Source organism: Homo sapiens, chromosome 5 (assembly GCF_000001405.40).
Source record: "Homo sapiens chromosome 5, GRCh38.p14 Primary Assembly".
NCBI classification, from domain to species: domain Eukaryota; kingdom Metazoa; phylum Chordata; class Mammalia; order Primates; family Hominidae; genus Homo; species Homo sapiens.
Genome location: NC_000005.10, coordinates 114,379,915 through 114,397,689, shown reverse-complemented (window position 1 = coordinate 114,397,689; position 17,775 = coordinate 114,379,915). Strand labels below are relative to the sequence as shown.

The window sequence follows — 17,775 nt, the reverse complement described above, 5'->3', positions numbered from 1 at the left end:
GTGGCCAGGCATGGTAGCTCACGCCTGTAATCCCAGCACTTTGGGTGGCCGAGGCGGGGCAGATCACTTGAGGTCAAGAGTTCAAGACCAGCCTGGCCAATATGGTGAAACCCCATCTCTACTAAAAATACAAAAATTAGCCGGGCATTGTGTTGCGTGCTTGTAATCTCAGCTACTCAGGAGGCTGAGACAGAAGAATCACTTGAACCCAGGAAGCAGAGGTTGCAGTGAGCCAAGACAGCACCATTGCACTCCAGCCTGGGCAACAAGAGCAAAACTCCGTCTCAAAAAAATAAAAAACTAACAGATGCTGGTGAGGTTGCAGAGAAAAGGGAATACTTACACACTTCTGGTAGGAATGTAAATGAGTTCAGCCATTGTGGAAAGCAATTTGATGATTTCTCAAAGAACTTAAAACAGAATTACCAGTAGACCCAGCAATCCCATTATTGAGTACATACCCAAAGGATTATAAATCATTTCGCCATAAAGATACACGTACGCGTATGTTCACTGCAGCAGTATTCACAATAGCAAAGACATGAAATCAACCTAAATGCCCTTCATTGGTAGAGGGATAAAGAAAATATGGTATGTGTACACTATGGAATACTGCACAGCCATAAAAAGAATGAGATCATATCATTTGCAGCAGCGTGGATGGGACTGGAGGCCATTATCCTAAGTGAACCAATGCAGGAATAGAAAATCAAATACCACATATTCTTACTTATAAGTGGGAGCTAATCACTGAGTACACATGGACGCAAAGAAGGAAATGATAGACACCAGGGCCTACCTGAGGGTAGAGGGTGGGAGGAAGGTGAAGATCAAAAGACTACCTAGGCTGACCGTGGTGGCTCACGCCTGTAACCCCAGCACTTTTGGAGGCCAAGGCGGGCAGATCACAAGGTCAGGAGTTCGAGACCATCCTGGCCAACATGATGAAACCCCATCTCTAAAAAATACAAAAATTAGCCAGGTGTGGTGATGCGTGCCTATAGTCCCAGCTACTCGGGAGGCTGAGGCAGGAGAATCACCTGAACCTGGGAGGCAGAGGTTGCAGTGAGTCGAGATCGCGCCAGTGCACTCCAGCCTGGGCAACAGAGCAAGACTCCATCTCAAAAAAAAAAAAAAAGACTACCTATTGGGTACTATGCTTATATGCTTATTACATACATGATATAATCCAAACCCCCCGACACACAATTTATCTGTATAACAAACCTGCACATGTACCCTTGAACCAAAATAAAAGTTTAAAAATATCCATTTAATAGAGGCACACATAAAGTTTTCAATTCTTCCACAAAGAAAAATGCTGTATGGCACAGAAAAACACCTATGTAATGTTTCCGGTTTCTCCCTCTTAATTAGTTTTCCTAGTCTCCCTTAAGAAAACAAAAGCCCTTTCTCCTGATTCACCAAATAATAAAATACTGACTACCATCTAAACAACAACAGCAACAACAAAAGTAGAAATCTTGTCAGAACTTGCTGATGGGCTGGATGTGGGAGCAATAAAAGAAAGAGAAGATGCAAACATGGCTATTGTGTTTCTACCCTGAGAAACACAGCGGATGGTGGTGCCATTTCCTGGGTACAAAGGGCCAAGGGCTGGAGGGAGGCAAGGAATGTAAGAAATAAAAGGTTTCATTTTGGCCATTTACATCTGAGTATATATGCCAAGTGCAGGTCACTCAGAAGAGAAGTCTGGACTACTGAAGTAAATTTCAGAAAACTGTTATTTGGGTAATCGTATGAGATCAAAGGAAAAATTAGACAAAGTGAAGAGAACAAAACAGTACTCAAGGCCAAGTCCAGAGGAAGCCCAAATGCGGAGGGCATTTGGAAGGTCAGGACGTAAGAGGATCTGGAAAGCAGCAGGCAGTGAAGCAGGAAGGAAAGAACTGTCCTAGGAGACAAGGCTAGGTGCCGTCAATTAAAAACTGTCCAGTGGTATTTGCCAGGTTGAGAGATATGTTAATGCACTCAATTCTATAAAGAAAATGAAAACATTCTCAACATCACAGGTATTCAACACTCATTCATTGTCAAGTATGAAAATCTAACCGTAGAACTATTCTCATTACAGTCCATATAATCTTAACAATATATATGATCTGTTTTAAGCTCACTTGTAGGTGAGTTAAAGTAATGAGAAGAACTAATATTATTTAGTTCTTCTATATTCATTTTCAATTCTGAGGTTGTTAAGAGATGAAAGATTTTAGGTCAGAAGAACAGTTTAATCTACCTTAATTCTAGGGTGATGGTTAACAGTCTTGGCCAGAGGTCTAAAGTAACTTGTAGGCATAATGCTGAATGTGCCCTCAGAATATGTCCCACCATGAGCATGAACTTTCCAGTGCGACTGTTTTGTATTTGCTCAGATAACCAAATGTAATATACTTCAAGCTCATCATCATAGATTAGTTAGCACTGACCAGCCATCAGTGAAGAGGGGCTGGAGTTTAGCAGGAGGGGCCTGCCCACAAAGAGGTAACCTGTGTACACCAGAAGGAGCTCGGCTGCAGAACCCTTCTCCTATCTACCTTCTGCATGTGCTTTTCCTCTGCAAGGTAACTGCAAGCTCTTGCAGTCGGGGACAATTCATTAAACATCTTGGGTTTACCTTCTAGAAAATAATCCAGGGCATTGCTCAGCAAAAAACTGGGGCTTAAAAATTACACACTGAAAAACATAATTTTAGTCATATATTTGTTAGGAAAGTAAGTAGAATAGCCAGGAAAATTCTGAAAAGGAAGAGTAACAAGGGAGAAGCAGCCACATAAATTTTAAAACATAAGTTAATCATTAAAATCAGGTGGTACTGGCACTTAATATAACTGAAAGCCTGATGGAACAGAACAGAAAGTCTAAAATAGACCCAATATACTGAGAATTTCATAATAATACAAAGGTAGACTCTCAATCAGTGGGGAAAATACAGCTTATGGAAAAATGATTTGGAGACAACTAAGTAACCACCTGGAGAAAAGCAGAGTTAAACCCATGCCTCATACCCATACAAGTGTTTGAAAGACATAGATGTGAAAATGAAAATACTAGCATATTAAAAGAAATCAGGTAAGAACCTGGCCATAACCTTGGAGAAAGGAAGGCCTTTTTGACACAAACTCCAGAGTCTCAAGATAAAATACTGCATCTTATCTTTTAATGCATTTAATGCACTTGACTTCATTAAACTTTTGCTTTCTGCAATTAACTAAAACTACAATAAAGAGAGTAAAAAGACAAGGACCAAACCATGGGAAAACGTTCACAACACCTATCACAAAGGACTAACCTCCCTAATACATAAAAGTTCTTAAACATTAAGAAAGAGACAAGCAGCACAGTAGAAAAATGAATGCAGGATACAAGCCTTAGGTCATGGAAAATGAGATGAAAATGGCTCTTAAACTTATAGAAACAAATGCCCAACCTCAATCATAAGAAGAAAATGAGATATCACTTTTTGACCTGTCAGATTGAATAGGCAGTAAAAGTTTTATTACATGTTAATACCATTGAATGTATGAGGAAACAGTACTCACGCATATCTCAGGCAGAAGTGTAAATTGGTACAATCGGAGGAGAGCAATTTATCAGGTTATAAGCATACATTCTCTTTGATAATGTAATTCAATTTCCTTAGAATAAAATCTGTCATATCAATATATTTGCAAGAGTGAAAAATAGTGAATGTACATGATTATTTGTTGCAGCATTGCTTGTATATTAGCAAAAAACTGGAAATAATATGAATAATCTAGTAGGGAAACGGGTTAAATGAATTATGAATGGCCATAAAATGAATAGTATGCCATTAAATAAAAGATGAAGAAACGTGTTATATGCTATTAAAAAGAGATATCAAGTAAGTACTGAGGGTTTTTTTTTTAAAAGCAAAGTACATGCTATTATTTGTGCAGATTTGTTAAAGGGGAGATGGTATATTTGTATTTGTATGTGCATAAAGTATCTCTGAAAGAATACTCCAGAAATTAATGATAAAAGTCACTTAGGGAAGGTGAACTGAGTGGCTGGGCACTAGAAATGGATGGGAGACTTTTAATTATATAATATTTAATGCTTTTTTTTTACTTTGGAGATGTGAGTAAATGAATATAAGTTAGTTAATAATAAAAGCAGTTTTTATGGTTAAAAAACAGAGGAGGGAAGAATGAGAATAAATGAGGTTGTCAGACATCCAAATAAATCCTAACAAACAGTCTACATGTACAAAACTTCAAAACTAGAAAGTAATCACTGACGTTCTGAATGACAGTGTACACAGCCAAACACACTGAATCCAATTTACATCTAAAATATTCTGCTTACTAAGACAAATCCTTGAGCCATTACATTACATAACTGTTTTCAACAGCATGAACAAAAATAAATAAGATGTCTTGGTTAACCTTTAAACCAAATATTCAATAAAACCAAGCTCTCTTTTTTTCATTCACTTACTGAATGCTTCTATTTGTAAGGTTCTGTGGATACAAGGATTAAAAAGCCTCTCAGTGTTTGATGTGGAAGAGCAATATACATGAAAGATTTATATTTAAATTTACATCTTAATGTTTCCTTGTGATAAGTACTACAACAGAGAAACAAAGAAAATGCTGAGGAAATACAGAGGAGATCAGAGGAGGCTCCATCATGGAACAGTATATGGTGCTTTTCCCACCAGAAGCTTCACATAACCCATGACAAGGAACTTCCAATATCATTTTTAGGACATTTTTGGGATCATGGCCCCAAACAAAAATGCACAGAAATGTATTAATTAAAAAAAACAAAAAACAAAAAAAAAGCCTCCTTCCTTAGAAACTAGCATTTGGATGTAACAAAGTGAAGGAAAAAAAAAAAAACCCCACAAAAAACACTACAGAAGAAAGCCAAATAATGAGGTTTTCTTTATTAATGTGTTGTTAGGATTCAGTCAACAAAGAAATGAGACTACAGGTGCCCATCACAGACTAGGTCAAAAGACAAACAGAAAGGGAGAGATGACTTTTCAATGGTCTCGTTGAGATCTCCTCCAAGATCCTCAGCCCAGAACTGCAGGAGGGAAAAAATTGAAAAGCTATGTTCAGAATTCACCAATCCTGAGCAAAACTCAGAAGAAACGAGCAAAGCTGATGCTTGTCATTCCCTCACCATCCATCCTGGAACCTTCCTCTGTCTTGAAGTCTCATGCCCATTCCAGCAACCCTGTTCACTCTGGCCACCCAGGAGGAGGAATGTGAAACTAATTAAGTATTAATCACTGAATTGCCAACTCCTCTCTAGGAGAAAAGTATGAAGAAAAAAACTTGCTAGAACGAAGAAAACTAAGGCTTAGATCCTAGATATGCTACTAACTTGTTACATGACCTTGAGAAGTCCTTCAAACTTTGTTAACCTTATTTCTGCTCTCTGTAAAAATGGAGATAATGTTATTTGCTGTTTCAGAAAGTCATTTTAATAATAAAATGAACACATATCATATGTTGTAGGCAACACTATCAAGTGGCTAACCCAATAGTATTCCCATCCTTCTCTCTTGCCTATCTGCACTACAGAAATATCAATTTCCCCAGACTCCTTTGCAGTTATGTGTAGCCATATGATGCAGTTCCAATCTGAAATCATAAGCAAACGGTTGCTTGAGAACTTAGTAGAATATCTTTGCTTTTTTAGATTAAAAAAAGACAGACATGGCTGACATAGACCTCTTCTTTCCCTTCCTCCAGCCCTAAATAGAGGTGATACTTGGATCTGCAGCAACCACCCTCTGACCATGAAAAACAGACCAAAAGAGTCACAGTAATTCCAGCCCTGATATCTTAAGCCACTGAACCAGCAGCCACCTACCCCATTTGTTAAAGTCACCATCAGGTGGATTTTCTGTTACTTGAGCAGCTGAAAGTATGCCTGCATTTAATTTAATATTCATTAATGTGCTATGTAAAGATTTATAAAAGAAAAATAACATTTATTAACTTAAAACACTTTATGGAGAGAGCAGCCAACAATGCAGAAGAAATGCATCTCAAATATTGAAATTTAAAGTACAATAACCATTGAGTGGTAGAGTTATTTCTGGGGTGGGTGGCTTTTGTTCATGCCTTTTAAATATCAACCAACTGCTCTGAATATCTGGTAGTGTGACTCACAGGAAACACACACACACAACATTTTGGAGCCGGAAAAGCTTGGATTTAATTTCTGGCTTGACCACTTACTAGCTGAGTGGTTTGGGGCAATATATTTAATCTATGTAAACTTCAGTTTCTTCAGCTACAAAAAAAAATAAAAATAATATCAACCTTACATGATTAGTATGCATTAACACCCACTCTGCTGTCCCTAGTAAAAGTGACCAAATGAATAAGTATTAGCATTCCATGGACCTTCAGAGAGGGACAAGTAGATGAATTAAATAATAACTTGCGATATAAAGATGGGAAAATTAGCCATGGAAGAGGAGGAAGGGAAATTGGTAAGGAAAGACAGATCTAGAGCAATGTCAGTATTGGGAAAAGCTCTAGAAACTCCAGCTATACCTATTTTTGAAAGAAGTATTCTCGTCATTTCCTAAAATAATGAGTTTCTGAAATTGTCTTCTCCTGACTTAGGCAAGAGCTTTATCTACAGGTCAAAAATCCTAGAATTATCCACCAGGATGCAGTGATAGTTAAGGTTACGTATAATAAATCCATGTTATGCTGCTCTTAAGACTTAATTAGAATCTTACTCCCCTTTCACATGTTTCTTACCACCAGGCCCGCACCTTCTGTGGTCCCAAAAAAGGCAATGCATGCATGTTGATAGATTATCATGCAATTATGTTCACATTCACATTACTTTGGAATTTATGCAAGTTGCCTCTAAAAATCACTTTTGAACTTCTCTGTTAAGGTAACCATTTTACCCTTTTTGGTTCTCTCAACAGAACTGACATCACAGAAAGCACTGTGGTGTATGGATTATGTGTTTGCACTCTGGAATTGAGTCAAGCAGATCTAGGGTTGATTTCGACATGCCACAATTGATGAGCTCTGTAACTGCAGAAAAGTTACTTAAACTTTTTGAGCTCCAGTTTCATCATTTGTTAAGGATGCCTGGTCATAGGACTACAAGGATAGTGTCAACAAATGTTATTTTCTTTCATAATAGTTCACTTCAGCACTGTGTCAAAATCTGGCCTCCAATAAATGTAACCTTAACTAACTTCAGGTAGAATAAGAAGGGATGAACACAAAGACTGACATCACTGATTGTAGCTACTGGAAATGATGAAAATAAAGGTTAGATGAAATGAGAAATTCAAAGTTCCTCCATGGTCAGTCTTTTACTTATTTTAATGGTTTATAAATTTTGGTATGTATCATTAAATCATTTCTGCAAGTAGATGGGGAACCAATCATAAATAAAATAAGCCTGGTAAGGCCTCAAACCATGAAATAATTAAATATAAGCCAACGTGTTTGATTCTAAAAGTTTAATCTGAAATGATAAAAACTCTACATTTTCATTTGAAGCATTATAGTAATAATATTGCTACATTGCTAAAATGTATTAGCATCACCTTAGTTATTTTAAGCACTTAAAAAGCTGGCTAAAAGCTAGGTCATAGTTATTATCTCATTTGCCCTTAGAAGAGTCCAGTTAAAGCACAGGCAATTGAAAGAATTTGGTCATGGTCACAGTGTGAGTTATTGAAAAACCTGAAGCTAAAGTTCAGGTCTTCCAGCATTCACATCATTTGATGGGGGCATCAGGCTGTACTGAAAAGTTGGAAGCAAATCAATATTTATAAAGCAAAAAAATGCTTACCCACTAATTTACATTATGATTTCTCCAATGTCACATCTTCATCCCTGGTCTTAGATGACCTCCTGCTTTCCAGCAGAAGCAAATATTTAAATAAACTTGGACATTACATTCAATGCCCCATGGTAACAGAAATAGACTACGTCCTAGTTTAGTCTTTTTCCAAGTTAGATATTTTTCATTCTGAAAACTTTTTTAACTTCAGTTGTATAGAACCTCACAGTTCACACGGTATTTGGGATGAAACTTGAAAGCTGTTTTAAAGTATGCTTAACTAACCACATGTTAACAGGACCAGGTACTGTTCTAGCCTGTTGTGTGTATTAACTCATATAAAACATGAAGCAATTCTAGAAGGTGTATACTACAATTATCTCCATCTTGGAGAAGAGAAAACTGAGGCTTAGAGGTTAAGGAACTTGCCAGGGTTACATGATACAGGGCTAGCATATGAACCCAAGCAATCTGGCTTCAGAGCCTGTGTCCATAATAAGCATACTGCGACTTGTCACATACTTAGCCGGTATAAAATCTTTTCAGGAAGGACACAGAGACAATGCCAATGACAACATCAAATGAACCCATATATTCTTGACCAGTTTGGTTATCTAAGGCCCTTGTTTTCAGCAAAGGAGAAACGAACATATACAATGGGGAAAAAACAGGTGCTTAAAGGAAAACAATTATTACATTAAGTAAATCAGGTACAGCAGCAAGTATTGACAGAGAGGAAAGACACATACACACTCACACACGCACACACATACACACACCACTAAAAAGCAGATACAAGGTCTCAAAAAATCCAACAGTCTTAACTCATCTAATGAAAAATCAAACATTCTTGCACACCTCAATTACCAGAGAACATCACTGTATTACAACACAATGCAAAGCCTCATGTTCCAAATAACAGTGTTGACCTCAACAAAGACTCTCTGGGACTTAATTGATCCTCTTTTCAAATGCAGAAGGGCTGTAAAATCATTATTTAAATTATGTCTAAATTTTAGAAATATTCCTATCCAGATTGTTAAAATAAAAAAAACTGATATAGAATAAGTCACTGTAAACTTCAAAGTACTAAAACAAAATGATGGTCAGCCTAGAAGACTATACAGAACTAACTATTTCTCAGGGGGAAAGGGTGAAAGACATTTTGAGACATACACAGATTGAGAACAGAAGTGACTGCTAAGGAGTGCTCTGCATGCAGCAAGAAGTAAACATAAACCAGAAAGAAGGAGCTAAAGAAAGAAACAAGTAACCATGCTAGTAAGTCTAAACACAAATTGACTATATATAATTATAGTTATCAACATAACCATATGATTAATTTGGAGAAAGTCAAAAAAGCAAGGTATGAATAAAATGCGGGACATCAATAGTATGATGGAAGGAGGAAGGGAGATCAGAATGAAGGCCTCCAAAGATTGTTACACTGTACAGAAAAACAGAAATTCTGATCAACCTTAAACACTGTTAAATATACATATTTGCTAAAAATTTAAGAGTAACCACTAGAAGATGGGATATAAATTGCATAACATCTAAAATGCCAGAGAAAGAAATGAATGTTTAAATATTTCACATCACCCAAAATAAGGAAAGAAAGGAGAAAGATAGAAGCAGTGAAAACATTACGAACCCAAAATAATGTCAGAAATAAGTACAAAAATAACAGTTGCCATAAAAATGTAAATGAACCAAACTATACATCCAAAACATTATGTTGAGTACAAAAAAGCAAGTTGTAAAATAATAGGTACAGCATAGCATCTATGAAATTGAAAGAATGCAAATACTATATTGTTTAGAAATACGATTCTATTTAGTGAACACATAAGAGCATGGAACGGAAGGATATGCATGAGTTTCTGAATGGCAGCTGCCTCTACAGACAGAAGGCGGGTAAAGAGACTAGGAAGAAAATGAAGCCTATTTCAACTGTAATATTCTTTTTCTCCTATGATAAATAATATCTGAGTGGGAGCAGAGGGGGAGAGCAAAGCCCTCTACTGCCAACTGGCAAAAAGCTAGAAAGCCTCTGAGAATGAACATCTCTGAAATGTCAGAGAGTCTAGTCTCTGAGTCTCCCTCAGAGCTACAGGATGTAGATAGAGCCTTTCTTCTGTTCTTTCTTATGTACAACAAAGAGGCTCTATTGGAGCTGAAACCAATGAAGAAGCTACAAAAGAACAAAGTGACCAGAATGATTCTTCGGGCTGAACTGCTCAGAGCCTTAGCAACTGGGAACACATGCCAGAAGCATGTGATACATGAGCCCAAAGTCTAAGAACAAAAACCACAGGGAATATTTTTTTTTAGCAGTTTTTAAATTTTTTTCTAACTGAAGCTCTCAAACTTAGTTAGAATACAGTATTATGAAACACATTAAACCCAGTTTGATAACAGTCAAGGTTAAGCAAAAATGCACTAAGCTGTAGCTCAGTGTTTAATTCCAAAAACTTCCTTTTTAAAACATTCTAGTTTACCATGTAATGGCTGCCATATGTTGTTACATTAATAGTTACTTCCCTGATTTTAAAATACCATGACAAAATAGACATTAAGTGGCAAGTTTGTCACAAGCAGCCATGCCAGTGATTAAGCACAAATCATGGGACTAGCTCTGAATACCCACATGGTAAGACCTGTTGGTCACAGCTGGTTTTGATGATTTTTAATAAAGATTATCCATTTGTATTACTTGGATTCAGAACCAGACAAATATTCTTTTTCAATGCTGTATCTTGATTAAAGAAAAAATAATCAAGTGGCCACAATGAAGTTAGGTTTTCTTTACAACACAAGTTAGGCTCCATTTTTTTCTACCCTAAATGCTGTAGGGAATGACACATAACCAGGAAGTATTTCAAGATTGCTAACTGGCCTAACACAAAAGTACAGCATCCTAAAGGTAGGATGAAGAAAGTAAGGACAGTAGAAAGCAAAAATCTACATACGTCTTAAGGAGCGTTCTCCATCAAAAAGAAGAATCACCAACCTTGTTGATAAATGCGGGATAGTAAATAGAGACTGAAATCTCTCAGAATTCTGAGAGGCAGACAGAATGTATTCGCTGACATGTTAGTCAACTACTCCCTTAACTTACAGCATCCCTTGCCCCTCCTTATATTCCTCCATAGGTGCTTATATTACAAATACATAGAGTAAGAATGAGAGAAATAAATCTTGGCTCAACCTTTCAGATGGTGGGAATTTTTAAATTCTGTATTTTTGTATCACATTAAATTCAAACCTAAGGATACTACTAAAAAGGTGGTATTTGAGGCTGCATGATTTTTAAATTGGCAAATAAGATAAAAAATCTGAAGGAAATTTTTAAAAAGAAAGCCATTTTACTATATATTTCTACATAACAAATTTTGGGGAAGTGATAGAAAGACTGGTTATATCCATTATAAATAAGAACTCAATCAAATTTAATTGAACAATTGTTTTTTCTGCTTATATCATATACCAGCCCCTGGTGGAGATACAGTAATCAATAAAATGGTCCATGATGTCTAAGAACTCAAAATACAAGGGGAGAAAAATCTGTGTAAATCCACAATCACTATTCCATTTGAAAAGATTCCACTGCTCTCAAGCAGTGTGATTTTGAGCAAGTCATTTAACCACTCTATACTTCACTTTTTTTTTTTTTTTTTTTTTAGACAGAGTCTCGCTCTGTCACCCCAGGCTGCAGTGCAGTGGCACGACCTCGGCTCACCGCAAGCTCTGTCTCCTCGGTTCACGCCATTCTTCTGCCTCAGCCTCCCGAGTAGCTGGGACTACAAGTGCCTGCCACCATGCCCGGCTAATTTTTTGTATTTTTTTTTAATAGAGACAGGGTTTCACCATGTTAGCCAGGCTGGTCTCGATTTCCTGACCTCACGATCCGCCCGCCTCGGCCTCCCAAAGTGTTGGGATTACAGGTGTGAACCACTGCGCCCGGCCTTAATACCTACTTTAAGAAACAGTTGTATAATTACAAGATAATCCAGGTATGGCTCTTAGCAAAAAAAAAACCTGAACAATTACCCACTGTTGTGCATCATCATCATTATTTATCATACATTACATTAGTATTACTATTATGACGGGATACTAATACAGAAGAAGGACAACTACGTCAGCCTTTGGGGTCATGAAAAGCTTGCCAGAAGAGGGAGACCTGTGCTGAGCCCAAAGGCACCTGGGTGAAAGTGGTATATTCTAGGTAAAAGGCACAGAAAGCAGAAAGAATGGCATAGTTTTGGCTCTAGCTCTCCAAACAAATCAACATGATTCCAATAATGTGTGTGTGTGTGTGTGTGTGTGTGTGTGTGTGTGTGCGCGCATGTGTGTATGCTGTCAATAAACAATGAGGCTGAAGGAATGGGAGAGGTAAGATCACAAAGAACATTATACGCCACAAGAAAGATTCTGGCTTTTCTTTCACAGGGCACAACACTATAGGCATTGATGATGCCTACGGTTGATGTCAGTTATGTAAATTAAGTATTTGTAAATTTCAAACATGCAACAGTACAACAAAAATTTAAGGTTTGGTGGCTGGGGACTAACTTCTGTGATGTTATGAAGGAAGAGAGAAAGGGAGAGAAAGAGAACAAAAGGGAGGGAAGGAAGAAAGCAAGAGAAAAAAGAGGAAGATGGAAGGAAATGAAGGAAGGAAGTAAATACAGGCAGCAAAGAGAGAAATTGGTGGCCTGACAGTTTATTAACACTTCAGACTCACTAATTTTAACAGAAACAAAATAGGGCAACACATCTGCATACCTTTAATGTTAATAAGATAGAGCATTTCAACTCACCACATTCATCCCACATTTATTAAAATAAACTTTCTTAGACAGGGACAGATCTGTACATGTAGAAAAAAACATAATTAAGACCAGTTCCTTAATGATTATTTTTGAAACTGAATAACTTTTTTACTTAAGGACTCATAATTTATTTGCATAGAGAAGTGGCAGAAAGTGATGGCAAATGTGTGTCACGTAGGCTCCCACTCCCTTCCCTCTCCAGTCATGGCAGACTGGATGAATCAATCCGGTCCCTTCCAGTGCAGCCCTTCTGTGGCCTAAAGAATCACTCTCAGACTGTGTATGCTCCAGCCAGTCACAACCAATTAATAGGGGCTGGCATCTGAGAAAAAACCTACTGGTCGTATGCAATTAGAAGAATGTACCTCATATTCTTATAAAGATTACCAGAGATCTTTCCCTGGAGCACCATGCCACTTAATTTGGTCGAATATCTGTCTACTCTAGAGAAGTATGTCAAAGAAAATGCTCTCAGTCTTGAATTAGAAGGTTAAGATGGGAATCCCAGAGTGAAGCACACTTACGGCACAGACTAAGATAACATCGAGATTTTATTACAGTCATCAGCATTCTTTCCCATCCTCTACTTCACTTTCATGGGTAATTGAGTATTGGCTTCTATTCTACCACTGTAGCTCTTTCTGAACAACCCCTAGAGACAAAAAGAATAAATAATACATATTTCATGGAACAACTAATTATGGATAAAGATTGTTCTACAAGTCTCCTTAAATCAACTGTGGTGAATTGAAGGTAACATAATGTAAAATTCGGAGGAAACTATGTTCCTCATCTATATTAAAGTAAACCAAGTGTTTGAATATCATAAGTTTTTAAGAGGTATTTATTTGTTTTATGATTACAACTGACAGAAAAAAGTGGTACAACTTTTCTCATACATTCCAGATAAAATCACACCTAACAGTAAAGGCCCTACTGCAAAAAGAAAACAAAAGAACCTTTGAAGTCACAGATTTGAATTTGATTCTCAACTTCGCTACTCACTGGCTGAATAAGAACTACAATGTAGATGAAATGAGACAATGTGTATAATGTACCTAGCATAGTGCTTGTTCTCAGTAGGCACATGATACACATTAGTTACTGTGATACATATTAGTTATTTTAGCTTTCTAAAAAATAGCCATAAAGCATGAGGCAAACACATCCTGACTTCTCTTATACTGCATCACAATTTTCCTCATTAGTCATGTTGGTGGCCTTTGTTCCTGTGCCACATGCATTTAAAAGCATTAAGTGGGCCAGGCATGGTGGCTCATGCCTGTAATCCCAGCACTTTGGGAGGCTGAGGTGGGCAGATCACTTGAGGTCAGGAGTTCAAGACCAGCCTGGCCAACATGGCAAAACCCTGTCCCTACTAAAAATACAAAAATTAGCCAGCATGGCTGCGCCCGCCTGTAATCCCAGCTACTTGGGAAGCGGAGGCAGGAGAATTGCTTAAATCCAGAAGGCGGAGGTTGCAGTGGGCCGAGATCATACCACTGCACTCCAGCCTGGGTGACAAAGCAAGACTGCCTCAAAAAAAAAAAAAAAAAAAAAAAAGCATTTAGTGGGGCTTAGTATGTCTTCTAGCATCTTCCCTTTGCCTCACCTTCCCCTCTAAGACCATATTCACACCCAGGCAATCAATCTTTTAGCATATTCCTTGAGGAATATCACTTTCCTCTTGTTACCTTTACAGCCACATCTAATATTTGAGAGAATCACCAAATACTACATGAATGAGAGAGCAATAAGAAAGTACAGGGTCTACACACACAGACTACACTGTTGGGAGGAAGGTAAAATTTGGAAACAGGGGACTTAAACTAAGAAAAACTTATGCAAACCCTTCAGGTAACTGCACAAAACCCAGCTAAACAGTTCTTCTACTAAAGGTCACAGAATGGTTAAGTTATCATAGCTTAGTACCTGGGCAAACTAGAAAACACCTTTTTTAGCTCCTCATTTGCACCCCCCTCCCTTGAGGCTTTAGATTGATTGATTTTTAATTGACACATATTAACTAAGATACTAATTTGTTCTATTAACTTCATCTGCTATACTCAGGACGGTTCACACATTGATAAAAAGTTCACTGAAACAATTTTGTAAACTAGGCGTGATATTAAACACCAACAACCCAGACAGAAATTCTGAACATGAGCAGACAGGCCCAATCACTCGGATTTAACTGAAGCAAGCTGCTAATCCTTGGAGTGGCCAGTTTCCAGGGTTGGGCATATGACTGGAGTTGTGAGAGCAGACGCCATCCATCCATTTGTTTTTTGGTAGAAAGTTTATTTTGTGGCACAAATGGGAAAATGGAATAAAAGTCTCTCCTAAGACAAGAGGACTACTGACTCCTAAAAGGAAAAGTAGTATTGTCTTGGGTGGCTTTTCTCCATTAGCATTCTTTCTCTGTCTCCAACACCCACAGAAAGAGACCATCTATGTCTAGTGCTTCAAAGCAGAGTTACTTGCATCTCCTAATGTAATCACATGGCACACAAAACATAAATGCCAATATATGAGTAAACACGAGACTAGAGAGTAACTATTTTCCCAAGAGAAGAAATAACCTCACAAAGATATATACACATCGAACAATTAGGACTCAAGTTCAGGCTGGGGAATATCCACTACAGACAAAAATTTACTTTATTTAGTAAACCTCTCCAATGGCTGTATATCACAGAAAGGAAAGAGGTGACACTGACGGGAGTTAGAGACGATGGATGCCAGGGATGGTCACTTTTAAGACTAACTGATAAAGCTGGAAATCCCATTTTAACAGCTCTTGAAGGCAAGGATTGCACTGCAGAATAGTAACGGTAAACAAAAAGAAAATATATGCCAGGTCTTCTATGTTGCTATCCTCTGTGCAACCATTTTCAAAGCCTATTTCTGATCCATGATTAAAATATAGGAAACATATACAGGAGAGAACATTAACCTCATGGTTAATCCATTAACAGGATAACAATCTGTCATTTTCATGCAAGTACAATTGTCCAGATCCATGAATACTATCATATTATTCCAGGTTAAAAAAGAATCTGAACCATCAACAGACAGGTATCCAACTCCCATCCCTGCATCACCCAGCACTATCATGAGGACTGGCTCCTGTCCTGCCCCTCTCCTAGTTCAGTCCCACAGCAACACTGGATGGCAGCATACACTGGCATAGCTTATGTTGCTTACAAGCAAAAAGATCTGTAACTGTCCTTGAGAAGGTAAAGCATAGCCACAGAAAACCACTTGAGGAGGCTTAAAAACCAGTAACAAACGCAAATGTTGCTCAGGAAAGGAAGAGAATAAAACGTCTGAAATAATGAGAAGGCTTCACAGAGGAGGTGATGTTAGAGATGAGCTGAAAAATCCAAGGGTATTTTGTAAAATCAAGAATTAGAAGAGGACGATCACAGTAGGACATGCTGTGATCCTCTTGGAGGGACACAAGCGGGCCCAGAGAAGAGTCTCTGTGTCTTATTATACCAGTGAGATAGCTAAAGCTAATCTGTCACTTATTAGAGCCCTTAGATTCTCATGGCTCTCCTAAAATTACCACTGCATTGTAAGCATAGCACCACTGCATCTAGACACATTTGTTTTTGTATTTCTTTCAACCAAGTCTTACAACCAGACTACAAAATCTGTCTCTTTCAATACAGCTAAAAAAAATAGAAACAAATGCCCTGCAATGATTTCAACCAATGATCTCTGACTGTACTGCCAGCCATTTCATTATCTACTTTAATAATTTAAAGTCAGACAACACAACTAGTGTTAAAAGCTAAATTTCTTTAGTGATACAGAACATTATGGCAGAAAAAGAGCAGAAAAACTTTATGCTAAGAAAAAGCACATTAATTAGACTATTATTAGCTTATTAGATTGCCATACCACCTCCTCTAAGATAGGTTATTTTATCCACATTCTTAATTAGCTTTTCGTGAACCAAGGAGAAGGAACAAGGAGGGCTGCCCCCACACCACAGATGAAAACACAGTGACTATTTAAATGGCCATGACGCACAAGATGTGAGAACCCTGGATTTATCCACTTCAGGTCTGTTCACGAGGCTGCTCAGCCCTGAGAATGTCCAGCAGAATCAAACATGATGCCTGCCCCCAGGGAGCTGCCCTCTCAACTGAGAGACAGAGTCTGATAAGTGCTACTGTAATAACGGCCTGCATTAGTGAACCCCAAAGGCCACATGTCCTACCAGGCATTTCACTACTCTCTCCCACCCTAACTGCCCCCCAAACCGGTCATGCAATCCTAACAAAAACCTCATCATGCCTCATCCTCAGTTACATATGAGAAACAAAGGATCACAGAGGTCATGATTAATGATGAATACAATAATGAAAATACTAATGTTACCGTTTGTGTGATTATTATGTGTCTAGCACTGGACTAAGTATAGTAGAATTCTCACAGTAGCTCATGAGATGGGCCTTATTACCCCATTTTCCAGATGACAAACTGAAGCTCACACCTATTAAAAGGTTGTGGGAAATCACTGATAAGAAGTTAGGAAAACCTGGAATTGAATCACGATCCCTTTCTCTTTGATGCTCTGTAGCTCTGTATTGAACTGCAGGAATCTACATTACAGACTGTCACCATGAAATGAGAGAGAGCCAGGGCATTATTTTAGAATTGTTGTGACAGCACCATGTTTGTGTTTGGGGCAGACATTCCTGCAACAGCAGAGATGGACCACCAGAAAGAAGCAGGGGGAGGGAGGCAGGAGACTACATTAATCCACGTTAGAAGAAAACGGCAACAATTGACACAGAAATTCCCAAAAGGAGTTTTCCATGTTCCTTGGGATGAGTCCAGGCTGCATGTTGTTTATTGACACTTTTACTGTATTGTGTATTAGAAAACACAGGTAATTTGTACTACAACCCATAATCTCATGGAAACTGTTGCTTAAGATGGGACTAAAATAAGTGAGTTAAAAAAAATACTAAGTCTAAACTAAAAATAAAATGATATAAATTAAAAAATAAATTATGTAAATGACATGTATAACACATTAATTTTCTATACTTATATATTTTTACACTTTACATATAATATAGATGGTATATATTAT

At 37.7% G+C, this 17,775-nt stretch overlaps 1 protein-coding gene across 5 annotated transcripts in view, besides 1 other annotated feature; it reads right to left on the bottom strand.

Annotated features, from left to right (window-relative positions):
- KCNN2 (potassium calcium-activated channel subfamily N member 2) overlaps nt 1–17,775 on the bottom strand; it is a 440,519-nt gene that overhangs the window by 98,807 nt on the left and 323,937 nt on the right. The window lies entirely within an intron of this gene.
- Nucleotides 8,474–8,975: an enhancer, noted in NCBI's record as "NANOG hESC enhancer chr5:113724412-113724913 (GRCh37/hg19 assembly coordinates)". NCBI's record gives its function as "activates a minimal SCP1, AML or CMV promoter by ChIP-STARR-seq in naive H9 embryonic stem cells {active_cell/tissue: H9 hESC(naive)}" and the evidence as "EXISTENCE:reporter gene assay evidence [ECO:0000049][PMID:30033119]".